This window comes from Homo sapiens, chromosome 1 (assembly GCF_000001405.40).
Source record: "Homo sapiens chromosome 1, GRCh38.p14 Primary Assembly".
In the NCBI taxonomy this organism is placed as follows: Eukaryota; Metazoa; Chordata; class Mammalia; order Primates; family Hominidae; genus Homo; species Homo sapiens.
Window position 1 is genome coordinate 22495471 of NC_000001.11, and position 27272 is coordinate 22522742.

Sequence of the window (27272 nt, forward strand, 5' to 3'; positions counted from 1 at the left end):
TTTTTTTCAGTTTTTGTGCTAGGTTTTTTTTGTTTTGTTTTGTTTTGTTTTGTTTTTTTGAGACGGAATCTTGCTCTGTTGCCCAGGCTGGAGTGCAGTGGTGCAATCTCAGTTCACTGCAACCTCCACCTCCTGGGTTCAAGCAGTTCTCCTGCCTAAGCCTCCTGAGTAGCTGGGACTACAGGCACGCACACCCATGCCTGGCTAATTTTTGTATTTTTAGTAGAGACGGGGTTTCACCATATTGTTCAGGCTGGTCTCGAACTCCTGACCTCAGGTGATCCATCCACCCGCCTTGGCCTCCCAAAGTGCTGGGATTACAGGCATGAGCCACCGCACCCAGCCTTTTTTACGTTTTAGGAATCATTTAACTCTTCTGGACATTAGCACTAACAAGTTTCAACACTGCCACTTACTTGCTCTGTGGCTTTAGGCAAGTTGTTTTGCCTCTTTGTGCCAGTTTTCATGTGGGTAAAAACAAACAAATAAAGGCAAGGTAGGGGTTGGACAGGACGCTGGCACTGGCATTTTCCAGTTCTCTCATCTGTATTTTCTGACATGTGTCTGCCTCCTGACGTGCAGGCAGCAGAGATGCTATAGATCGAGAACAGCATGGAGCTAACAAGACCTGCATACAATGAGACACAGTGGATGATTTTGTGAGTGGCTGGGATACTTTCTGGAGGTTGAAAATTGTTTTTATTTAGCTGGCATCACGTGTCCATTAACAGCACTCAGCATCCCCAGGGATTGAGCGTGGCTTGCAACTCAGTGACAGACAAGCCCCACTGGGACTGTGAGGCTCAGGGAATTTCACTGGGGATTCAGACACCACCCATGGTCCCTGCAGACCAGGTAGTGCTCAGAAGCATGGAGGCATCAGAGATCCCGTTCTCATCCAGGACACTACGTTGCCTGGGAGGCACCACATTGATATAAAACAACTAAGTTAGGGTAGGCATGGGAATATCAGAGACAGTTGTAGGGGGACGCTGTAAACCCATTCACGTACCGCAAGGAACACCAGACCAGCTGAATTGTGGGGCCCTTTCCAGCGCTGGGCTTCTGGGATTCCTTTGAGCGCCTTCTGTGTGCAATCTACTGGTCCAAACTGGCTTATGCAAAAAGTTAACTTGTTGGCTCCTGTGACTTCATAGTGTAGAAGGAGAGATAGCTCTGGCCATGACTGGCTGCAGGTATGGCAACACCATCATCAGGACCTGGGTTCTTTCTCCCTGTCTCTCAGCAATGCTTCCTCTCTGTGGCTTCCACTTTCAGAAAGGCTTGCCCTCATGGTGACAGAAATGGCAGCAGCTGCTCTAACTTCAGGTGCAATCCAACAGAAAGTGGCCAAAGCCATGGTAGGTGGCACACAGTCACAAGGTAAAGTCCCACGATAGGCCGTCTGTACCTTGAGGAGCAAGGAAGCCAGTGGTGGATCAGTCCAAGTCCCAAAACCTCAAAAGTAGGGAAACCGGCAGTGCAGCCTTCAGTCTTTTGCCAAAGGCCGGAGAGCCCTTGGCAAACCACCGGTGTAAGTCCAAGAATGCAAATGCTGAAGAACTTGGAGCCTGATGTTCGAGGGCAGGAAGCATCCAGCATGGGAGAAAGATGAAGGCTGAAATTGTCTTCCTTCTTTATTCCTAGCCATGTCTCTGCTTTTAATTAATTGTGTATACAGCAAAGTGGATCTTTAACTAGAATAAGGAGATAATTTTTCTACTATTGATTTCTGTGCTTTTTGGTCCACTCTTCACCTAAAAATCTAGAAGACTCCCAAAGCTGAAGACCTAGTAGCATTTTTTTCTCCTTCAACTTTATTTCAAAGGCAAACACATCTCTTCTCCTATGTGAATCTGATGTTTTCAGCCGTGTCGCTGCTTTGGAGGTTTGTCAAATGCAGATCTGTGTTTGGAGGGCTCTGTTCACTGACAGGGTTGGGTAGCCCTCTTGAGAGTGAGTTAATGAGATTCGTTTTACAGGTCTATGAAAGGTGAAAATAAGTTGTTTTTCCAAATCTCCTTTCTGTTAATGATTAAGCCTAAGATATGCAGCCATAGATAGAAGGGCTAATGGTTTTATGGCAAGGGAATTTTATTCAATTAAACATTTATTGAGCACCTACTATGTACCAGTCTTTATATTCATTGAGACCAAGAAAAGTGATACAGATTGTCTACATACTACCCAGTATTCAAACCGGTATTGATTCTGGTAAGTCTAATAGAACCCAGTGTAAATAGATTTGATTATGCTTAAATCTGGGAGGTAGAACTAGGTGAAAGGGGTGCCAGCTACTCCACTTACTAGACCTGTGACCTTAAGCAAGTTACTTAACCTCTTTGAAGTTCATCTAAAGTAGTAGTAGTAACGCCTCCCAGGCCTGGTGTGAGGAAGAAGGTAGATGGCACGGTGTCCAGGATGATGTGGAGCGATTGTAGTCTCTATCATTATTGCCATCACCCAGCCCTCAGCAGTCAAGGGAGGCCTGAGTGAACAAGAATATAGTGTAACTCAAACAGATCTGAAGGCAGTACACGAACAATTGGGGTAAATAAGTCAACTCAGTTAAAAGGCTTGAGTTAAGGGAAAGATTAAATGGTTTTTCACTTATAGAGGGAAAAGAAATGGTCTCATCTTGAAATATATTTACCTATATTTCACTCATAGGTAAAGTATTTAGATTACTTCTGTGACCTTATTAACATGAATTTATTGAAGTACCTTTACCCCTGAGAATTAAGAGTTAGTTCCAAATGTATGGTTAAAGAACTTAGCCCTTTCAACAGAACTCTGTTTTGGTTCAGCTTTTGGAGTTCTGTTACATGATAGTAATTGATGAATCCCTGCCTATCCTAATATCCTAATACCCTTCTGTTTAGGCAGAGAAACTGTTGCAGAAAAGGGCCTGCTTGCTTTTTCCACTGCGGAGCCCTAGGCAGCTTTAGGGGGCTGATGGAGTAACTGCTGTAGTGTTGGCACTGGTGTAGGTCCCCAGTAGGTTCTGAAAGAAAGAGCAGAGAGAGCAGGGCTGTCCATGCAGCTAACTGCCCTCTCCTGGCCCTTTCATCAGCCCACCCCTGCTTCTCTTCCCAGATGGCCACCCTAGCATCACTGTTGAGCAACAAAGTGAACAAATGTTTTAATTTCACTGCTGAGTAGTTCTGCAGAGAGGGAGACAGCAGAGAGGATAATGAGAAGCATATCAGATGCCACCATTGACGAAAGCTTCCCTTCCCCACTGGCTCAAATGATAATGCCAGACAAATTGGATACTGAGAGATGTGGATTTGGGATATTCGGAGAGTTTCAGGTGGAAAAAAAAAAAAGCCTGGCCTAGGCTAGAATGAGATAGCTATATGCTGTATCAATTGAGATGCACAAAAGGCAGGCAGGAAGGAAAGGGAAAATAAAAAGGAAGAAACATGTTTACTGAGGGTATTAGCAGCAAGTGGCTCTGTATTAGTTATCCAGTGCTGTATCACAAATTGCTCTAAAATCTAGCAACTTCAAGCAACAAACATTTATTCCCACAGTTCCTGTGGGTCAGGAATCCAGGTAGAGCTCAACTGAATTCTCTGGCTCAGCCACTTACAGGCTGCAGTCAAGGTGTCAGCCAGGGCTACATCTCAAGGCTCAACTGGGGGAGTATCTTTTTCTAAGCCCACTCTCATGGCTATTGGCAGGCTTCAGAAGATCCACTTCCAAGCTTACTCCCTGACTGTTGGCTGGAGACCAGTTCTTTGCCACATGGGTGTCTCCGTAGGGCAGCTCACAACATGGCAGCTTGCATCTCACAGAGCAAGGGCAGAGAGAGAAAACACAGGCAAGATGGAAGTCAAACTAGCCTGACCTCAAAAGTAGCATCCTGTAACTTTTACCATATTCTGCTTCTTAGAAGCAAGTCACGAGGTTCAATCCAACAGCATGAATACCCAGAGTCAGGTATTAGGGTCCATTTTAGATGCTGCCTGCCTTGGGTTCCCTACTGCTGTCAGTGAAAAGGCATTTTAAAGAGATTTCAAGTCAACTAACAAAAGCATGAAAAGTTGATTTAATTTAGCTTTCAACTGACGTCTTCATTTTTTGTTTATTATTTTTTAAATACAAGATGAGTTACCTTAGGTTCTCAGAAGTTTCTTACGCTAGTGATATGTTGATGTGGATTATTAAACTGTGTTTTGTCTATGTGTACTTTTGGAGATGACTGAAAAACACAGGAAACTTTTAAAGTTTAATTTAGCTTTATACAGACATCCTGTGCTTAGGAAGCAAGCTAAAGCAAAGCCAAGAAACACAAGGTCTAACTCGTTTATAATTTCTATTTGGGAGGAGAGGAGAAAGATAAAATCTCTCTAAATAAAAATCTTAAACATATACTTACTACCAGAATTTGTAATAACAGCTGTCTAGCTAAATTTTGCTGTGTTGATACAGTATTCATGAGCTCCTTTAGTGTGGTGGGGAGACGTGTGTGTGTAGAAAACTAACCTTTTGCTCTCTAAAGACTCTGGTGAGAAAATTTTTCTATTTTATAATCTTGACACTAAAAAACATCAAAGGTAGATTGTAGTTTTGTCAAGTAGAAACATAAAGCCTATACATATGACTGTACACGTGAAATTCAGTTTTGGTTACCAGATTTTTTCAAGTAAATTCATTATTGCTAAAGCAGAAATGTGAACCTTACCTTCCAATTGACCTTCCTCGCATTTGCGTGAGAGATGTTCTGTCAAACCAAAGAAAGGAATGCTAATTTTGTTTATTTTACCACTGGGGTTGTTGATGTCTTAGAAGCATCTAGAAGAGTCAAGATGATGAGTTTGGTTTTATATGCGCCCCTGAGACCTCTGGAGGACAAGGTGTGTCCAGCAGAATCTGTGTGGCAGCTCTGGATTGAAATAGTGCAGGGTTAGAGCTGCTTTTCAGAGAAGTTTGCATAAAGGTGATAGTTAAAGCTATACATGTGAGAGCTTTTCAAAAGGGAGCATATAAAAGGAGAAAAAAATAAAAGATTGAGACCAGTCGTAGGTGCTGTTAATGGTTATGGATTTGGAAGAAGAACCAGTGGGAAAGGCTGAAAAGGAGTGGTCAGGAAGGCAAGTTCTTATCCCACATACTTCAGTGCTGCTGAAATCGGAAGAGAATTGTGATACAGAGGCACTGCCAAGTGCCACCGAAAGGTCAAGTGGCACAAAGCCAGAGGCAAGGCTTGTTGTATAAACGTTGGTTAGGGGAAGAATCTGTGAAGCCCCTTCAGGCTGAAAGCAGTCATTCACACGGGGTAATTAACATGTGAGTCATATGTTCTTACAGCTGGCAACTACAAGCCAACACACTGTTAGCCTTAATTGTTACAGACTATATCTAAAATTAATAAGGCCCGTGTCTTTTTAAGTAGTCTGTCATTTATAATGTAAATGATTTAAGGTATTCTTTTTTCCTAAATTGTGAGATTTTAATTGCATTCTCAAATAATAAAATGACAGTTCATTAAATTTAAATTCAGACATCCCTGCCCATGAAATACTTAAAATGCCAGATTCAGAAAGGTATAATTAGGTAAGAAGTGCATTAAGTTTATTAAAAATTCACTGAGCCCCTACTGTGTGCCAGGCTATGCTATTTGCTGCGGATACAGAGCCCTAGAAAGCATAATTCCTGTCTTCAAGAAGTCTAGTAGGAGAAAAAAAAAATTATAATATAGTGTGACAAATGTCAAATTAAAAGCAGTGAAGAGGAGGTAGGGCCTGTGGCCAGGAAAGGCCTCCCAGCAGAGGTAACCCCTGAGCAAGGTTAGAGCATGGAGTCGTGGAATTGGAGTCCTCCAGAAGACAGGGGCAGGAGCATGGGACCGCAGGGCTTGTTGGAACTGCTGCTGGGGAAGAAAGTGCAGTGGGTGAGGAGCTTCAGGAGAAGCTGGCGGGAATCAAACTGTTGAGGACCTTGTTTGCCAAATGCAAGGAGCGGATGGTTCTTGTGGTTCGCTAATCTATCTTTCTGGGTACTTTTGTTCCATAGATGATAGTGAAATGTTTCGAGGGTGAAGGAGGACATTCAGCATTCCAGAGAATCCTGGGTAAAGTAAGAGAGGAAAGCCTGGATGTTCAAACTGTTGTGTCCCTGTTGAGGCTGTACCAATATTCTAATCCTGCAGTAAAAACAGCACTATTAGACAGGAAGCCAGAAGATGTAGACACAGTGCAGCCAAAAGGTAGGAGAAGATCCTATGCATTGGAATGGCAGGGTTTTATTTTGGGATGATGCTATGAAGTTTGTTCCAATGACATGTTTCTTTGGTGGCTTAGTTATTAAGTGGTTTTCACATAAGTTTCACATGTAAATTCCAGAAGCTGCATGTTAAATATACACCAACTAAATTTGAGTCTCCATTTCTATCCCACAGTTAACTAGTCTGACACCTTGAAGTTGGAGAATATCATCAATGTTCTCCTGCCCGTCAAAAAGCCACACATCCAAATCAATGACTTGAGTACCCAGGTTGGACTGGTTCGCTGACAGCACTTTAAGGCTGAAGTTTCTCTCATTTGGGTTAGGTACAAAGCAGTGGCCTTGCCAACCAGAAGTTAACCTCTGGCTGGCTCTGCAGCTTTGTGTTTCGACAGATAAATGAAACATTTTTCCTTTCATAGAGTTTAAACAGAATAATAAAGTATTTTCCTCTGTAAAAGCGATTCTGCATTCAGGTGCTCAGAATAAGCTGAAAATCACTTTACTATTCTGTTAGATCTCTCTTGACAAACCATGCTGTCATTTTCTTCAAATTGACTAGCTTCTCTTGTGTGTCTCTAACTCTTTCTCCCCCAGGGAGCACAGAGGAGGGAAAGACCTTGTCTGTTCTGTTACTAGAACACAAAGAGGACCTGATACAGTGTGTAACACAGCTGAGACCTATTATGGAGTCCCTGGAAACAGCCAAGGAGGAATTCCTGACTGGCACTGAAAAAAGGGTAACTGTGTCAAGTGTCTCCTCCCTCCTCCTGAATTCATATAGCACTTAAAAAAATGCTTTTGTGGCACATAGCACTTTATACTTTGCAGTATTTTAATACATACTGCATAGTAAGCATCTCGAAGTCAAGGTGCTTGTTTCATATCCTGTTGCATTCCTCGCGGTAGCTTGCTGAGGGCCTTGCACATGGAGCCATAAGGAAAATGGATGGATGGATGGATGGATGTGTGGGTGGGTGGATGGATGGATGGGTGGACAGTTGGACAGATGGATGGATGGACGGACGGACGGATGGACCGATGGACAGATGGATATATGCTATTCCTGCTCTGACTCAGTTTTTACTGTAAACAACTGTATCCAGAATTAAAATGTTAAGGAAATTTTGTAATTATTATGACACCTTTCCTCTTTATAGAAATGTACTGTACATTTGGAATATGTAGAAAATGGGGAAAGCAATCAAAAAGAAAAAATTCAGATTTCTCCACTCAGAGATGACACTGCTAACAGGCTGAAGCATGTGTTCCCCTCTTTCTCATTTGAGTCATCCCAGGATGAGGTTATATAGAACATATGGTTTTCTAACTTGACTTTTTACCTAATATCTTAATACATGTCTATACCTATAATATGGATTTCGTTTCTTTATCATTGAGCATTAGTATCCTTTTTTTTTTTGCTATTAAAAGTGATGTTGTGAAGAACATTCTTGCACATAAATCTTTCCATACCTCTGAAATTATTCCCTTACTATAATTTCTAAGAAGTGGAATTTTGGAATCAAGAGTATAAAAATTTTCAAGCGTTTGATATATATTGCCAAATTGCCCTTCAGGAAGGTTGTACCAATTTACTCTCCCACCAGCTAGCTGCTAAAATCCTCATAAAACTGCTGGCATGACTTCTCAAGGCAACTAGATAACTATGTTTGTTGGTGTTATTGATTTCAACTTTGTGCTAAAAATACTTTTATATCTGGAAGGAAGGAATAGGGATAGAGTACTTTTGTGGCATCAATTCCTAAAACCGTGGGAAGCGACTTAAGTGTTCAGGAGAGAAAACGTTTAGAAGCCACTGATATAATGGCTAAGCCCTGAATTTACAGTGAGGACTAGATCCTCGATTTTATTTTTCTCAGTGATCTTATGTTGCACATGTGCGCACGCACACACACACACACACACAATGGAAACAACCTTTAATCTCAGAATTACATTTTGTGATTTAATTGTTTTTAAATTTTTAAGTCCTTTGAACTTCTTAGAGAAAGAAAATATACAAAGATTAAACTTCTGTTTTTTTTCTCCTTAGTCTTCAAATTAAGTGTAATTTCAGGCACTCAATTTAAGTAAGTTGCTTATAGCTCTAAAAGTTCCTGATTCCCTCTTTAGTGATTTCATTCGATTACTCATTCAGACCTTTTTCTTTTTAGCTAGATTGAATGTGTCCTTTGAACTGTTTCATTATCTTGGTAAAACAGCATTTATAGATAGAGTCCAAACTCAGCTTCATTCTCTGCAGCAAGATAGACCACACTGTCATTTTCTTCTGTCACTTTCAGTTTACTTGACAGAGAAAGCTGAAGCAGAAGAGCTTAAATTAGTTATAAATCACAAAAACACTTCTTAAGATTGGGGTTCCACCAGAGCTTCTTTAAGTGATTCCTTCTCATGAAAGTTGAAGCAGACTAAGAAAGTGGGAGTGGAGAGGTGAATGTTGATTGAATAGCCACAGTATTTTGACATCGTGTGGAATGTGTACCCAGGCCTTTTCAAACTTTTTTTCTGGTTAGAAACTATGCTAATAATGGATGCCATGGCCTTTATAAATATGTTGGGTTTTGTAAGAAGCAGTAACCAGGAACATATTTACATGAGGACTGGAAACAGAAAAAAAAGGTAATTACTATAGCTGTCATTTATTTATTGCTTACTGTGTGCCAGGCAGTGTGCTGAGGACTTTTTAAACATTATTAAGTTTTGCCCTCATAGCAACTTTATGACATCATGGATATTACTCTTATTTTAAAGATGAAGAAACAGAGCATAGGGAGGTGAAGCAGCTCACCCAAAGACACAGCTGTTTGGGGCTGGTAATAAGAATTAGACTTCTAATCCAAGCACATTCTCTTAACCCCTATGAGTACTTCTCCCTAATCATATCAATAACATAGTCATTTCTTAAAGATCACATGTGTCCTAGGAGTTAGGCAAGGCCCTATGAACAGCACCTTCATTTTACAGTAACAACTGTGCAAGAGTTGGTATTATCTTCTTTTGCAAGTGAGGAAAATAAGGCTTGAAGAATTAAATAACTTGCCCAAGGTCACACAGGCAATAAATATTAGAACTGCAATTTGAACTAGGTCTGTCTGGCTTTAAAGCCTATGCTTACTCTTACCAGTATCTGGCTGCCTCTTTGTATATCAGATTATTGCTTAGGAACCAAGATTTAGCTCTGAAATCAGTATGGTGTTTAGATACAAGCTCTTAATTTTTAAATTATGATTTATTTAGTAGAAATCTATATATTAGACCTTAAAGAGAATGACTATGTTCTGTACTGACAAAGAATATGACAGCTTGATTTATTATGTATATATTCCTTTCATATATATAAAACCAATTTGGTTTTAAAGCTAAAATCATTATTTTAAAATGGAAGTTAATTTGATAATGGCAGCCTCTGGCATACTACCATGACTAGGAGCTGGCATTTTCCCAAAGGAAAGCTCAAAATTCAGTTCCTGTGAATCTGTAGATTACATGTATTGAAATAATCCCCTGCTTTATCAGTTCCATAAGAGCTAAGCTATGCATATTATGCTGTAGTCCATTAAGAAATAGTTCTATTGTAATATTAAAATATCTGTAAAATATCTGTCACATGTTTTAGTTTCATCCTTTTGCTAGAGTTCTGTGCCCTTTTGACTCAAAATCCTCTAGCACACCAAGGAAGGACAAAGGAGTGGAATTGCTGAATTATGACTGGAGCTGATGTATGTGGCTGTTGAGAATCAGAGGAATGGATAATAAGGAATCCACAAGAAAAATAATCCAGAAAGGCACTTTAAATCTAATATTTTGGAGTCCACAGACTAATTATACAAATTATCTGAGTATTCAGATTACTATGCAAGTAAAGTAAAACAATGGAATTATAACCTATGCTAATATTATGAACTTTACTGAAAAAAGACCAAAAAAATTAAACTATATTAATTATCAATCTGTGTTTCTCAATCTTAGCGTCCAGACAAGCCACATCTAAAGAACCAGGTTAGAGGTAGGCTACTTGCTGTATCATATAGGCCTAGTTTAGGAATGTTTTCACAAAATGCAAGCTGTTGGAGGCAGAGCAGATACACAGACCTGCAATTGAGAAAGAAAGATTTTCACAGTTATTTGTTTGGAAAATATTTAAGATTTTTATTGAAACAGAATAAGGAAGAAACTATGAAAAAAAGTAATGCTAGAGACCAACAGAAGAGGACTTGGAGATCAGGCATCTTGTGATGCTATCTTGCTAGGTTTTCCAGTAGTGTGTCAGATAAATGTTGAATTGCCAGTAACTGGTGTCTGGTTGATTGCTTGCCACTGCAGGTGATTCTGAATTGCTGTGAGGGCAGAACACCCAAGGAGACAATAGAAAATTTGTTGCACAGAATGACTGAAGAGAAGACGCTGACTGCTGAGGGTTTGGTAAAACTCCTCCAGGCTGTGAAGACGACTTTCCCAAACCTGGGCCTTCTGCTAGAGAAGTTGCAGAAATCAGCCACTTTGCCAAGCACCACAGGTATTAGTAAATTGTTGACTCTCTGGACTGGAACCACTCTTCCAGAAAATTGTAGCTTGAAACACCCTTTTGGCTCCATGCTGGGGAGATAAGATTATGTTAAGAAATGTCATTGCAGAATAGAAACTAGCCGTCATAAATCGATAATTCTCGATCTCTCTGGAGTTAAGGTCTGAAATCTGAGAGTGACTCTTCTCGGTTAAGCTCCCTCATGGTGTTCCTGTGGCTCAGGATTTATTAACGTGTGGCTTTCCCAGGGCTGTCCAGGATCACCTGTGAAAGCCAGAGGAGCAAATGTGCTCATAAGGCTTAGCACTGTGTCAGCCATATTCGCAAATAGGAGCAGCAAAGCCTCAAATCTCCATTGCCCCATTTCCACTAGAGTGCTGTTTGCTTCCAGCAGTCCCCAGAACTCATTATTCTGGTGTCCGTTCAGCTTGGGGAAATGAGTCCATATCCTATTTCTTAGAAAGACAATCCAGCTCAAGCCAACTCTTCCCTGTCCCAGAGCATTTAGGACTCAGATGGTTTTCAGAAAAAGGATATTTGTTCCTAGCCTATAAAAGTAGTATGTACTTACACAAGCTTGGACAATTCCAAATATAAGGAAGAAAACCATTTAAAATCCTACCACTCAAGCATGCCAATATTAACACCTTGACATGTTTTATCTATCACTTTTATAATATTGAGATACTTTCATATTGTATAATTTTATGGTTTCCCCATGTAACATTGCAGCAGCCTTCTCCACAGTTCAGAAAAACTCCCCACAATCCTAGTTTTTGAAGGCTGTGTAGTTTTCCATCATAAGGATGTATATGGTGTATTATTCATGCCCTTATTTCAGAGCGGATGTAGCATAATGGTTAGGACTGTAGGCATTGGTGTCAAGACTACCTGGGGCCGCACCCTCACTGCACCATTCTGTAGCTGTAATACCCTGAGCAAGTGACTTAATCTTTCTGAACCTCATTTGCTCTGTGAAATGAGGTAAGGGTGGTACCTATCACATTCGTTTTTGTGTGGCTAGTATAATACATGTAAAACATTTAGCACTGTGCCCGGCACATGGGCATTCAGTAAATATTAGTTGCTGTCTTCACTGTCATCATCGGCAAAGATTATGCTTTGATAGTTGTCTTTGTACATAGACAAAGACCTTCAGATAATTTCTTAAGGTTGGATTTCCAGAAGTGGAGTTACTGAGCTAAAGAAAAGGGTACATTTTTAATTATCTGCAAAGCTAAGAGAAATGCCTGATAGTTTCAATTTTTCTTAACTTCCAAGTAAATATGACCTCTTAAAAGAGAGAACCTAACAAATTGGCCCAAAGGGCACCTAAATAGAAAAACCACGGGTCAGCTTCACACGCACAGCCTTGATTCGTGCTCGTCTTTAGGATCGCCACACGGATCCTCTACCTCAGGCTTGACAAACACCCCCCCTTGAACCTGCACATCTGAGTCTCTTACAAGTACAGCCTTCTAATTACCCCCCTGGTGAGCAATTGCTAGCTCCTACCACCAGGCACTGACTTTCAAAGCGTTAACGGCTTTATGACCCTGAAGCGCCAAGCGATTAAGTGTAGGCAGAGGAGCTCTGAACATATGTGTATGAGGCCCCAAGCCAGGGCTCTGCAGAGGACACTGAGCCCTTGTGCTGATTGCTCTCTTCCTCTCTCATTGGTAATATCCTGGAGTCTTCTGTAGGAGGTTTTGTTGCATCAAACATTATTGTTTTGCTAATATCCTTACAGTCCAACCAAGCCCTGATGATTATGGGACTGAGCTATTGAGACGCTATCATGAAAACCTCTCTGAGATTTTCACAGACAACCAGATTTTATTAAAGATGATCTCACACATGACAAGTTTAGCCCCTGGAGAAAGAGAGGTAAGAGAGGGAGAGAAACAGAGGGAGGGGAGGGTAAAATGAGAAAGAAGGAAAAAATATGAATACACACACACATTTATATTTTCTGTAAATATACATATGTAGCCATGTTGAGAATTGCTAAGTAGAGGAGAAATAGAAGGTATCTCAGTTTCTAAGGTGGAATAACAAATAGAATAGTTCTAATTTCTGTGGTAATAAGGAAAGGCATTCAAAAGGAGAAATGAAGAACTTTGTCATGTATAAGAAATCTCTCAGACTGAGAGGTGAGGATGTTGAAAAACTCCTTCCCCAAACATATTCACTGTAACCCAATATCTAGACTTGCAGCTCTGCAGCTGGGCTAGTGGCTGGAGAGTCTCTTACGTGAGTGTTTGTGTTACATCTTGAAGGTCATGGAGAAGCTTGTGAAACGTGACTCTGGTTCAGGTGGTTTCAATTCTCTGATATCAGCAGTTCTAGAAAAGCAGACTCTCTCTGCCACAGCCATTTGGCAACTGCTGCTGGTGGTTCAGGAGACAAAGACCTGTCCATTGGACCTGCTCATGGAGGAAATACGAAGGGAGCCTGGTGCCGATGCTTTCTTCCGGGCAGGTAAGTTACCTGCCCTCTGGGGGGGTTTTGCCCCCACTAGAGATGACTGTCAGTCTTCCTAGAAAATAGGAAGAGCTCTCTTAACGGTAGTCACCTACATCCCTACTATTAGAAGTAAGGACTGGCAGTTTTGTTCAAGGACACAAGAGTTTGTAAACCTTTTAAAAAATAGATCCAGTAATTATCTTAAGCTTACATTCATTATTATACTCTGATTACAGTGCTATTTGCCGTTTTCCCCACTGCCAACCTCAGATAGGAGATAGGGGAAATGCATTTTCATTATGAAGAGTTGAGTGGAGGAAGGGTGTAGGAAAAAATGGTGCTCATTGTTTGCCTAATGAGTTTTTGATCCCCCTTTTTTTCAGTGACCACCCCAGAACATGCCACTTTAGAAACAATCCTGAGGCATAACCAGTTGATCTTGGAGGCCATCCAACAGAAGATTGAGTACAAGCTCTTTACCTCGGAGGAGGAGCACCTGGCAGAGACTGTGAAAGAGGTGTGGTGGGAATAAAAAGCGAAATGCCAGAGAGTTTTACAGTTGTTGCCTGGGACTGTCTTCATTCCTAAGAGAGGAACCAATAGTTGGTTGGGTTGTTTTTCCTTCTTTTTTTTTCCTTTTTCTCTTTTGAGACAGAGTCTTGCTCTGTCGCCCAGGCTGCAGTGCAGTGGCACGATCTTGGCTCATGGCAACCTCTGCCTTCCGGGTTCAAGCGATTCTCCTGCCTCAGCCTCCCAAGTAACTGGGATTACAGGTGCGCACCACCGTGCCCTGCTAATTTTTTGTATTTTTAGTGGAGACGGGGTTTCGCCATGTTGGCCAGGCTGGTCTCGAACTCCTGGCCTCAAGTGATTCACCCATCTCAGCTTTGCCAGAGTGCTGGGATTACAGGCGTGAGCCACTGTGCCTGGCCAGAACCAATATCTGTACCCCTTGCTAGGCTAATGCTTCCTAACACGTTTGCTCTTTTAATCCTTCCAGCTCTACATGGCAGGTGATGTTATCACATTTTATAGACAAGGGTTCTCAGGCCCCAAAGGGTTAAGTTACCTGTCTAAAATGCTCTGGCAGGGAGGAGATGATGTCAGGATTTGAACCCAGCTTCCTATGACTCAAACCAATTTATTCCATTTATCTAAACCTGGTATCCCCTGGAGCCATGATACTGTTCTCTTACCTGTTCTAAGAAGCAGCTTCTCTCAGATGAAGGAAAGTAAAACTGGTCTTATTACATGTTCTATTCTGGCTTCTAGAAAGAGCCAAGATAAACATAGATAAAACAAAGCTTTTGCCCATATTGGGTAGCAAATAGTGCCAGCTCATTTTCTGTAAGCCTTCACACAATGTGGCCAGCATCCCAGGAATACCAAGTGGGGACTGGGGGAACTCATGGGTGTCCAGCCCAGGATCATTTGCATCCTGAGTGGGGAAGAACAAGAAAGGAACATGAAATTAAACTACAGATTCAAATGTAGTGCCCTTTTGATTCAGGTAGGTGTGGAAGGTGTGCAGAAGGGCGGGTTTCTAACTCTCTCTGTGCAGGTGACAGCCACATGTTGGTCTGACTCAGATGGGAAGAAGATGGCACACATTTCTGTGGGGCTTCAGAGGAAAGACTCATCTGTTAGACTCTCTCCAGCACGCCGTAACTTCAGAGATGGGGCTTCTGCAGTTGATCAGTTTTAGCCTCACTAATTAGTCTCATGCCTGCCTCCAGGGACATCAGGTTTATTTAGATAGACTTGAAAAGAGCAGAAATAAAATATCTTCCAAAATGAAAATTCCGTTTGGCCATCTGTGGATGGTTTAGCTTTATTTTCTCAGTGTACCGACTCTTTCTGCTGATAGCTCTAACATTCTGAAAGAGGACGACGGCTTTGAAATAATATTCTTGGACTCTTTAAAGCTTCTATTTGAACCTTCTTTAAAACGCTGAGTTTCTTTGTGAAAGAAAATGACGTTTAAATGGGTACATCTAAGTATCTAAAAATATGAAGCCACTGATCATGCAGAATTACTTCCAGACATTGAGACAATTATATATTATGAAAACTTATTCTGATTTTCAAGACAGACACACCGACGACCAAATCCTATAGCTTTTCAAGCTTTTAGTATTAAGATCCAGAAAAGGTCTTTGGGAGACTCCTAGTTTCTGATAAGCTATTTCTTATAGAAAATGCTTTATGCTTCCCTGCATGTATCTTCTTTGTATTTGCACATTTATCTGGATACATGCTTCTTTTTTTCTGTTTTGTTAGTTTTCCTGTTCTTTGGCAAACAGAGCTGTCCACTACATTTATCACAAGGCGATGTATAAACTGCTTATAAATGGAGCAGTGCCTTCCTGGGATTAGCTTTTTTTTTTTTTTTTTAGGTTGAAAACCATGGGGAAAATCTGCTGAGATTAACCCCACACCTTTGTCTCCTGGTATTCATTTAGATTCTGAGCATTCCCTCTGAGACAGCCAGCCCTGAAGCTTCCCTGAGAGCAGTGCTGAGCAGAGCCATGGAAAAATCAGTCCCGGCCATTGAAATATGCCACCTCCTGTGCAGTGTCCACAAATCTTTTCCAGGCCTGCAGCCTGTCATGCAGGAGTTGGCATACATTGGTAAGGAACGGGCCAGGTGGGAAGGGGGTTCCTATCAGCACACCAGGTTGTTTCTTGAAGAAAGAGACAGCATTTCATATCATAGTTTATCACAACCTTAAGTTACGTATTCATTTTATATGCTCTGAATACCTAAAAAAGTCATGAGACATAGGGGGAAAATGTTCTTTGTGTTTATTGGAAAGTAAGGAGGACAATGATATTACTTCAGAGTGTTTTTGAGGATCTCAAGTAGTCTCTAGTCTCCTGTAAGAAGTGTGTTAGAAACGTTATAAAGCAAAATAGAAACAGAGAGTTCGCAGAGCCACGAGATGTCTCTTTTATGCAGGTGTCCTTACTAAGGAAGATGGAGAGAAGGAAACGTGGAAGGTGAGTAATAAATTTCACCTTGAAGCCAACAACAAAGAAGATGAAAAGGCAGCCAAAGAAGACAGCCAGCCTGGGGAACAGAATGATCAAGGAGAGACTGGTTCCTTGCCAGGACAGCAAGAGAAAGAGGCTTCAGCCTCCCCAGACCCTGCCAAGAAGAGCTTCATCTGTAAGGCCTGCGACAAAAGCTTCCATTTCTACTGCCGCCTAAAGGTGCACATGAAGCGCTGCCGGGTGGCTAAGAGCAAACAGGTGCAGTGTAAGGAGTGCAGTGAGACCAAGGATTCAAAGAAAGAGCTGGACAAACATCAGCTGGAGGCCCATGGTGCAGGTGGAGAGCCCGATGCCCCCAAGAAGAAGAAGAAGAGGCTTCCAGTGACATGTGACCTCTGTGGCAGAGAATTTGCCCATGCCTCAGGTACGTTCAAGAAGGCAAAGGAACAGAGGATGATAATTGTGGGTTTTATAGCTTGGATTTCAGGCCTTTCCCTTAGTTGTGTGCAGTGAGGGCTGTGGGTGGGCTTAGAAAATAGAGCAGGTTCCTACAGAGGCAGGGTAATATTTTAAGAGCATGGGCTTTGGAATCAGCCCCCGAGCTTTGATTTCCCCAAATCTATTAAAGCAGCACCCTGATACCACTTACTCTGTTGCATTGTTATGAAGACTTAAGGTAACAGAGCTAAACACCAGTGCACTGCCTGTAACAGAGTGAGCACACAATAACTTACAGCTCTTACTGTTTACAGTGATAACCAGCTACTTAATACCTGGCTCATGTTTCCATGTGCCACTTGTTTCTTGGTAACAAACAAGAGTCATGGAAATCATGGGATGTACAGTCAGAATGGTTTCCCTTGTCCTAGAATTTGGATAAACCTAATGAAATATAAAAGCAAGTTGAGTTTCCCTAGTTCTGGGTGGCAGGGTCCTATTTAAGAGAGAGAAGGGAATGGGGAAGATAAGCCCAGCATTACTTTCCACCGGCTCCATCCAGGAGTAAGGCCAGGTGACTTTGGGGATGCCAGTTGGTGGGTAGAGAGCAGCGTGGCTGTGTGCAGTGGGTACCAGCGTGGCCTGGCACCCTGGGCTTCATGCTGTGCTTCCTCTGGAGGCCTGGGCTGAGACAGTGCTCTTGGTATCCTGTGCTAGATTCCTAACACTGATTAGTAGCATCTCTTCTGGCCTCTGGTGTGCTTGGCTTCCCTAGGCATGCAGTACCATAAGCTGACAGAGCACTTCGATGAGAAGCCTTTCTCCTGTGAAGAGTGTGGGGCGAAGTTTGCAGCCAATTCCACCCTGAAGAACCACCTTCGCCTTCACACCGGGGACCGCCCGTTCATGTGCAAGCACTGCCTCATGACCTTCACCCAGGCCTCCGCCCTGGCCTATCACACCAAGAAGAAGCACTCAGAAGGTAAGGCGGGGCACAGTTCATTTCTCCTGCAGACTTTCACTGCGAACTGCCTAAACCCCATTTGGATTAGGTGTGATATATATCTCAAAAACAAAACAATTTGATAGCACAACAGGGTGACTAAAGTCAATAATAACTTAATTGTACATTTTAAATACAGTGTAATTTGGATTATTTATTACACAGAGGATAAATGCTGGAGGGGATGGATCTCTCATTCTCCCTGATGCAGTTATTTCATATTGCATGCCTGCAGCACAACATCACATGTACCTTGTGAATATATACACCTACTGTGTACCCACAAAAGTTAAGTATCAAAAAAAAAATAAGGCTGAGGCAGGCGGATCACAAGGTCAGGAGATTGAGACCATCCTGGCTAACATGGTGAAACCCCATCTGTACTAAAAAATACAAAAAATTAGCCAGGCGTGGTGGCGGGCACCTGGAGTCTCAGCTACTCGGGAGGCTGAGGCAGGAGAATGGTGTGAACCTGGGAGGTGGAACTTGCAGTGAGCTGAGATTGTGCCACTGCACTCCAGCCTGGGCAACAGAGTGAGACTCCGTCTCAAAAATAATAATAATAATAAATAAAATTAAAAAACAATGCACAACCTCTAGGCAAACAGACGACTGGGAATAGCTCTGTGCACAGACGTAAACTGCTTACTGGGAGAGCTTCTGAAAGAGACTGGCTAACCTCCTATGACTTTATATTAGGTCTTGTGGAAAAGTCATTGTGGTTTTTGCCATTAAAAGTTATAGAGAATTTACATAAAATTATTTGAGCTTTGAAGTCGAGTTCAAGCATGAGAAGGACCCTGACTAAGCACCTACCGTGGATCAGACAGTGGCAGATGCCGAGTGGCTGAGCTGGGATTCCTGTGTGCCCATAGCTTGTGGCCTGAAGGGGGCAGGGAGAGGGGAGTGTAGCGCCCGTTACAATGCAGATTGTCAGCGGTATAATGTGGAATAACACCAGCGTGATGAGGAAGGATGGAGAAGGGGTCTCTAGTCCAGTTGGAGGGGAGGAGGAGGTACATTGTCAGGGAAGGCTTTTTGGAGCAGCCTACCTATTGTTTAGAGCATTTCTTTATAAATTATAAGGTAACCATTGTTTGACGTGGACTGTCACAGTAGCCTCAAAGCTGGTCTTGCTTTCACCATTTCTCTTGATACTTAAAAAATAAATAAACCCTATCAGGTCACTTCTCTGCTCCAAATTCTTCAATGGCTTTTTGTCCCACTCAGTTGTGAAATCCAGAGTCCTTAAGATAGCCTCCTCAGCCCTCTGTGATTAAGGTTCCTGATTCCTCTCTGACTTCATCTCTTAGGCCTGCACATTTTAGCTTTCTGGCCAGGCCTCAGGCCCGCAGGCACCTGCTCCAGGACCTTTATTCTTACCCTTCCCTTTGCTGGGGACGCTTCCCATCAGACATCTCACGTTTCACTTCCTCACCTCCTTTGAGACCTTACTCACACTTACCTTCTCTGTGAGTCCCTTCCTGGGCCACCCTCTGTAAGGTCTCAGCACCCCACCCCTGGTTTCCATGCAGTATTTTTCTCCCATAGTGCTTCTCATATGATGTAGTATCTACTTTAGTAATTTATTTCTGCTTAGTCTTCCCTGTTAGAATGCAAGTGTCATGAGTGGCAAGCTGTTAGTCTTTCTTTTCCCACTGCTGTATCCATGGGACTTAGACTAGTACTTGGCAATAGTAGGCCTTCAATCGATATTTGCTGAGTGAATGAATTTCACAAGCATTGTTTCAGACATGGGGTATTATAAATATACGCACCCCTGTCATGGGACTTACATCCCACTGGGTAAAACTGACAATAAACAAATAAATATATAGTATAAATTTAGATAGCAGTTATTACTATGAAGAAGCATAAAGCAGGGTACACAGTGAGAGGACAGGGCTTGGGGGACACTATTTGTATCATCAGAGAAGGCCTCTGCAAGATGGCATTTGTGGAGAAACCTAAACAAAGTGAGAGATGGAGCCAGTGAAAGACCTAGAAGGAGAGCATCCCAAGTGCAGAGCTGCCTCCCCGGTGGAAACGAGCTTTACCTGCATGAGAGACCACAGAAAACTAGAAGGGGCTAAAGCAGAGTCAACGAGGAAGAGCATTAAGAGATAAGGCCAGAGATGCTAGCAAAGGCTGGACCTTGGAGGGTCTTATAAGCCAAGGTGAGGACTTTTGGTTTTTATGTGAAGTGTGTTAGTTTATCCTGCTGCTGTAACAAATTACCACAAATGCTGGCCTAAAACAACCCAAATATACTCTTTTACCATTCTGGAGGATAGCAATCCAAGATGGGTCTTGTGAGGCTAAATTCAAGCTTTCGGCAGAGTTCCTTCTGGAGGCTCTAGGGGAGATCTCATTCCTTGCCTTTCCAGCCCCTAGACGTTGCCCGCATTCCCTGGCTCTTGGCCACATCACCCCAACCTCTGCCTCCATCACCATACCTCCTTTTCTGACTCTTCTTCCTCCCTCTTATGAGGACCCTTGCGATTACATTGAGCCCACCTGGATAATCCAAGACAACCCCCCCATCACAAGATCCTTAATCCAGTCACATTCACAAAGTCCTTTTGCCATGTATGGTAACATACACACAGGTTTGAGGAATTAGGACATGGACATCTTTGGGGGCCATTATCCCGCCTACCACATGAAGCCATAGAAGGGTTTTGAGCAGAGAATGAGTGGTAGGATCTAATTTACATTTTCAGAAGTTAATTCTGGCCACTCCAGACAATGAGCTATAGTAGGGCAAGAGGGAAACAGAAGGCTGTTAGAGCCGTTCAGTGTAGAGGTGATATAGTTTTCAACTAGAGTTGTGTTAGTGGGGGTTGTAAAGAACGTTCAAGTTTTAGGATATATTTTTGAAAATGGAGGTAACAGGACTCATGGTGGATTAGATGTGGGATGTGAAGGAAAGAAAGGAACTAAAGGAACTGAAGGCTTTGGGGCTTTGCCATGAGCAACTGAGTGAATGATGCTGCCATTTACTGAGATGGGGGAGTGTGTGGATGGTGGCTGTGGGGGTGATGGGGATAGAGCATTGGAAGCTCTGTTTTGAGCTCCCAAAACAGATGAGGACTTTGGGTTTTTATGTGAAGTATGTTAGTTTATCCTGCTGCTGTAACAAATTACCACAAATAGTGGCCTATTTGATGCATTGGGAGATACCTACTAGACATCCAGGTGGAGAGCAGAGCAGTGGGGAGTTGGACATATGGGTCTGGAGTTCTGGGGAAAGGTGGGAGCTGGAGCTATACTACAGGAGGCATCCATTACAGATGGTGTATGAGGCACTGAGAGATCATCTAGAAACAGGATTGAGAACGTCAAGGACTAAGCCCCAGGCTCCTCAATAATTTCACCTCTCCATTCAAGGAACCCTTTTTTTCCTAACAGAGTCTTATTTTGCAGCCCAATACATAAACACTGAAAATGAGGCTGCTTGTCCTAGTTGTGGTAGACCCTGGGATCCGGGGTTCTGGTGCCATGCCTCACCAATTGCCCTGCTTGCTCTCTCGGCCCATAAGGGAGCTTGGAGGTTCAGTTGGTCTAGCATTTCTCACAAATGCCAGTTCTCCAGACTTGTTCTTTATCCACATTTTCTAATAATCTTTGGCAGTCTGGTCATTATATCCTCATTATATGCATGTGAAAATATAGAAACCAAGGGACACATAATAACTTTATAGCAAGCAACTGGAAGAAGGCTTTCATTCCTCTCTGAATCCACGACTCTCACCTTTGTGCACAGTTGCAGATCCACACTGTGTATGTCGCCAGGGGATCCAAACCCACGTGTTTCTGGGCACAGGGATGTATCTGGTTGCGGGAGTAGAGTGCGCTCTTCCATACTTGTGGTGGCTGATGAACAGATGGGTTGTCTTGTGCAGTGAGAACTCCGTCCTTATTCCTTTGTCCAACCACACTCGCACCTTCCGTGTGATCGGCTGTGTTTGTGAGGTGCCATGTGATGAGACGGCTCAGATCTCACCCAGCGTATTGCAGACTGCCTGATGTTTTAATGTCATCTACCAGATGATATTTCCCTGATACGTGCTGTAGAATTAGATTTTGTTTGTAGCAATGCCATAAATTTTTAGTGCTGACTCTAATAAGCTCCTGTGTATTTGCAGGGAAAATGTATGCATGCCAGTACTGTGATGCTGTGTTTGCCCAGTCTATTGAGCTGTCCCGCCACGTGAGGACCCACACCGGGGACAAGCCCTATGTCTGCAGAGACTGTGGCAAGGGCTTCCGGCAAGCCAATGGCCTCTCCATCCATCTGCACACCTTTCACAGTATGTAGAGACTGTGGATCTCAAGCCCTCAGTGCCAGCCTGGCACTGGGAAAGCGTGTCAATTGCAGCAGAGGTGTCAATCCATCAGACCCAAGCTCCATTCAGTGCATTCCCCTTACCTGTTCCGCTGCAAAACCCAGAGTCCCTCATTCCTAGTTCAGGAAGAATCTCATTTTAAGGTATCTCATATAACGCTTATTTCTCTCTGGCCAGGCTGTTTCCCTGTCTTCCTTTTTAGCCCACCTGGCACCATTTGTCCAACAGAGGCAAATTTTGTTTGAAGGAGAAAGCCTCTGTAACTGATTGGCTCACAGAGCACTGGAATATTTCCATTAGGCCATCTTCCATTTGCCTTTTCCCGTAGGAGCAGTCCAGACACTTTCTGAGTTAATGTCTACCATCGTAAGTGAGCCTTGGTTATGTTTCCTTAAAAACCTCCCGCCCAGCATTCTCTTCCGAATGCCATTGTATTTCACACAGTTAGTGGGGTCTGCCCCTGTCTTTCTCCCCTTCTGTGAGAACTGACACAGACAGAAACACACTTTTATTCGGCATGCGTGCATGCGTGGGCACACACACATATATATACACACACAGGAAGGAAGGACAAAGAAATTCCGTGATTCCTCATTACACCATCGGGAAATCACCAGCGTGGCATTTGGCTGGCCACATCACATTTTCTTCAGCCTCTCTTGTTGCAGCAGGAGTGTAATCAGCACAGCACAGCACAGCAGGGGAGTTAAGAGCTTGGAGTCTGGAATCACACAGGCTTGGACTTGAATCTTGACCCTGACGCTTACTTTTCTTGAGGCCTTAAACAAATTTATTTACCATTCTAAGCCTCTTATGCCCCTTCTGTAAACTAGAGCAAATAATAATGCCACCACCTTGGATTGTAATTAGAATTAAATGAGACCACATGTAAAGCATGACACTCCACGCCTGACACATAGAAAATGCTCAGTAATGCCAGATACTGTTATTATTGGTGACAAGAGCAACCCTCTCAGATGCCATTTGTCACCATCAAAACTTGTCTTTTTTGCATGCCCTGCATCTCACATGCTCTTCTTCCCTCCCCACCCCTCTTCCCACACACCAGTTTCTAGCTGTTGGCAGATACAGTGTCTCACAAGTGCGCTTTATGTAAACACATCCAAGTCTGTCGTCAGCCAGCCAGCAAGGACTTTGCCAAAGCTCCTATGTGCCCAGCATGTGGCTAGACATTGGGTGATGCAGGGGGAAAATAAAGTGTGGCCCTTTCCCTCCAAGCAGTTTACAAGGCTGTCCAAAAAAATCCAGTTACAGTAGGCTTCCAGATGAGAGATTTGGCTTGGATCCAGTGCCACAATTTTGATGTCCTCTTGACCTCTTTAATGACATTCTGCTTTAGTCTTCCTTTCCCAGTAGCATTACCTGGGCGTCAGGAAAGGGGAAGACGTTATTAACTTTCAGAAGGGAGAAGACCCAGAATACTTTGCCATACCCTAAACTATATCATCCGTGGCAGGCCTAGCATCCAGGCCCCCCTCTCTCTCCCATTTCTTGCCTGTTTCATAGAACCACATCATTGCTTATGGAAAGCTGCATCAAAGTGTCTTAGAAGATGGTGTAAAACTGAGATTTCAAGAGCTCATGTCCACAGGGAAACTAGTTAGTGATACCGAATGCTGCTGCATGTCAGAATTCCTGAATTAATCTGAATCAATGCACATAAAAGATTGGCTTGTGAGCAAAGGATTTTATTAAAACATTTTGATTTCTGTTGCTTTAAGAAAAAGACCAAAGTTTCCTGCCATAGGATGGCAAATGTATTCTTCATCACTACTAGTTTTATTGTGGGGGTCTCACTGAAGGGTTGGCATATCCAATCAAGCATGTAGCTCTCAGACAGCATGGATTTGGGAGTGAGAGATGGGATTGTTACTCAGTTCAGCCATTTCTTAATTATGCCCATGGGCAAGATACTGCCTTACCACTCTAAACCTTGATTTTCCTAATCTGTAAAATAGGGATGATAATAGAACCTACTCATAGAGTTATTGGAAGGATTAAGTGAGTTAATTTACATAAAGCACTTAGAATATGCCTGTCATAGAGCACTCATTATGCTAATGTTTTTATTGTTGAATCTAAAGTGGGGAGAAAGGAAGCATCCCTCCACTTGTGCTGTTGATGACAAAGGAATTAGTGATGCTCTGGGGAGTGTGCTGGAAATCCTCTACAGAGAATTAGAAAACTCCAGAATGCCCACTGCAAACCGGACGAGCCAGGGTGAAACTCCCTGGAAAGTGATAAAGTGTAATTTAACTTGAAAGATGTAAAATGAGGAATGGAGATGAACTACATGATGCTGCAGAGACAGTTAGTCTTGAAACCCTGGAGGAATCCCACCTCCTAGGATGAAGGTGGGGGTAGTCAGGTGACTGCTACACTGATTTCTGATCCTTGGAGTCTATGACCCTGCCTGTTACGTAAAGCAGAGTCTTCACATTTGTTGCTGTACACAACAACCAGTGTTTCACTGATGGCTGCCTATGGTGTTTTCTTTTCCTCTCCACCTCTTCCTCTCATGGATGTCCCGTGAAACTAGACATAGAAGATCCTTATGACTGCAAGAAGTGCAGGATGAGTTTCCCCACTCTTCAGGATCACCGGAAGCACATCCATGAGGTGCACTCCAAAGAGTACCACCCCTGCCCCACGTGTGGGAAGATCTTCAGTGCCCCGTCCATGCTGGAGCGGCACGTGGTGACCCACGTTGGAGGGAAGCCCTTCAGCTGCGGGATCTGCAACAAGGCCTACCAGGTGACCTCAGGTGCCACTGGGAGCTCTTCCCCTCACCCCTGACCTACTCTCCATTTGATCTTCCCTGATGCCCGGGTTGGTGGCTTGCAGATCATATCTTGTATCCAGGATGTGACAATTGGCTGATTCTCATGAAGGATGCAGCTTGTGATCCAGATTCTCTAAGGAGATCTGGTCGGAGTGCTGCAGTGGGGGAGCTCATTATTGGAGCAGAGAGTTCATACGCTTCTTCTCTTAGACAGCAGACTTGTCGTGAACTAATGCTGCTTTTCCCCTTGGATGCTCACCTTCCATAGAACCCATTGCTCCCATGTGTCAATGGGCATGACAGCGGCAATGGGGAGTGGAACACTACCTGGAATTACCTTGTTTGGCACAATTAGTTTGTGTTTGTTTAACTCACAGGGAAGGGCTCAGCCTTTTTACCTTAGGATTTGATATGTAATTAAAGTGAAGCCCCATATAGAACTAAAAAGAAACTGCATCTGTCAGAAGCTTTAAAACTACAGAGAAAAGAATGGTCCTTGTGGCATCTATAAGATTTGGGTATAGACAAAGAAGCATAACTGCTAACTTTAGCTCAGCAAAAACTGAGAGCTAACTTTGTGCCAACGCTCATGTTGTGACATTAGCGTTCCAGAACGGAGACCTGGGCTTGAGCCCTAGGATGGCGTGGAATGGTAGGGAAAGTATTCCCAGTGCTGCTCTGGAACCTGGGAAGGAGAGGGACTCTTGCTTATGGGGCAAGGGCAGTGTGCACTCCTCCAGCAGCTTGCTCGGCTGTGCCCCAGCTCCCTGGGAAGCCGTGAGATGCAGCTCACTGGTAAAGCACACAGGTGTTACAGTTGGAAGGCCTGGGCCTGAATCCTGGTCCTGCTATCTCCTGATGTTATGATTAGTCATTTAACCCCTCGGTGTCTCCGCTTCCAGCTCGCTAGGAAGACTCTAACACCTCCCTCATAGGCTTGTTGTAAGGAATGGGCATGTGAAGGACTCCTGGGAGCCCTGCCCTGTAGTGGCTTCTCAATGAATATGTAGTTGCCTTATTCTCACAAACACCAGGCTTTCCTCACATCAGCACCCGGTGTGATAGGTAAGAGTGTGTGATACTAGAAACGTCAGCTTATCCAAAAATGTATTTCTTTCTCTCATGAGAGCCTCGTGAGCTCTCCAGCTTGCTGGAACTTTCTAAGACCTAACACTTGCCAAATTCCTTGCAGCAATTGTCTGGTTTGTGGTACCACAATCGAACCCACCACCCTGACGTATTTGCTGCTCAGAACCACCGATCTTCCAAGTTCTCATCACTCCAGTGCAGCTCCTGTGACAAAACCTTCCCCAACACCATTGAGCACAAGAAGCACATCAAAGCAGAACATGCAGGTGGAGTTTGGGTACCGCCGGCAGAGAGCGGGAGGGGCTTGATGGTGTAGCCTCCTGGGCCCCACCAGAAATCCCCACTTCTAATAGTCTAGTGTGATGTGCAGTGGTCATTGCCTTTGTTCTGCCCCAGCGCACCTGTCCGTAGCAGCAGCAGTCAGTAGCAGCAGCTTGAGTGGCAGTGGTTCTCAAACCTGGAAGCGTAGCGCAGTGTAAGCTCCCACCAGCCCTGAGTGAGAGCTTGTTGGGGCACCTGGGAAGGGTGTCAGCCTCAGTGGTAGGCAGGCCTGAGTGGAAATCCTGATTCCAGCACTTATCAGCTACATGACCTTGGCAAGTGACTTCCCTTTTCTGAGCCTGTTTCCTTCTCTCCAGGATGGCAGTTATTAAAACCTACTTTGCAGGTAAATTTGGTGATAATCACAACAGCTGTCAGTTACAGAGTGTTTCCTATGTGCAAGACACCATGCTAAGCACCTCGTGTATATTTTCTCATTTCATTCTCACAACATCCCTCTGAGCATCCAGGCAGTCTGGATCCAGATCTCATGCTCTTTACCACTAGATTGTACAAATATACCATAGGTTATAAGATTCCTGGCACTTGGTAGATGCTTGCTAAGTATTGGCCATCGCCCCAACCCCAGCCCTGTTACTCTTCAGCCTTGGAGAGCCAACCATTTGTTCTTTCCCAGCACGTCTTTCTTTATGCACTTCACAGATATGAAGTTCCATGAATGTGACCAGTGTAAGGAGCTCTTCCCCACGCCAGCCTTGCTGCAGGTTCATGTCAAGTGCCAGCATTCAGGTCAGTACCCCTGTCAGCATACTTCTAGGCTAGACTCGGGGCCTGAATCTCCCCTCCACCACTTGCAGCTTTGCAACCTAGGCTAAATCGCTTAACAAACCTGTGCCTCGGTTTCTTCATCTATAAAATGGGAACAGTTGTAGCACCTGCCTCATAGAGTAGTGTGAAAAACTGAAGGCCTTGGCATCAATAAGCATCCCTTAAGCCGTAACTGTGATTGTCATTGTTATTGCTATACTCATCAAATCTAAAGTGCCAGTTAAAAATAAATAAATACAA

General features: G+C 43.4%; 1 protein-coding gene across 7 annotated transcripts in view; it reads left to right on the forward strand.

The window, feature by feature from the left end:
* ZBTB40 (zinc finger and BTB domain containing 40) overlaps positions 1 to 27272 on the forward strand; it is a 102246-nt gene that overhangs the window by 66562 nt on the left and 8412 nt on the right. For 4 of the 7 annotated variants that reach the window (XR_946804.2, XM_011542499.3, NM_001083621.2 and 1 more), the window contains 13 exons: positions 6022 to 6214; positions 6829 to 6971; positions 10579 to 10771; positions 12531 to 12667; positions 13060 to 13261; positions 13630 to 13763; positions 15709 to 15877; positions 16206 to 16664; positions 17454 to 17660; positions 21830 to 21994; positions 24591 to 24805; positions 26026 to 26188; positions 26907 to 26993. Coding sequence is in view for 6 of the 7 variants with exons in the window: in XM_011542499.3 (XP_011540801.1) it covers positions 6022 to 6214; positions 6829 to 6971; positions 10579 to 10771; positions 12531 to 12667; positions 13060 to 13261; positions 13630 to 13763; positions 15709 to 15877; positions 16206 to 16664; positions 17454 to 17660; positions 21830 to 21994; positions 24591 to 24805; positions 26026 to 26188; positions 26907 to 26993 (2467 nt within the window). In the remaining variant the exon portion in view is untranslated. Of the gene's footprint in view, positions 1 to 6021; positions 6215 to 6828; positions 6972 to 6992; positions 8875 to 10578; positions 10772 to 12530; positions 12668 to 13059; positions 13262 to 13629; positions 13764 to 14131; positions 14757 to 15708; positions 15878 to 16205; positions 16665 to 17453; positions 17661 to 21829; positions 21995 to 24590; positions 24806 to 26025; positions 26189 to 26906; positions 26994 to 27272 lie in introns of those variants that run through there. The other 3 variants (XM_047436105.1, NM_001330398.2, XM_011542500.3) reach the window with 3 other exon arrangements.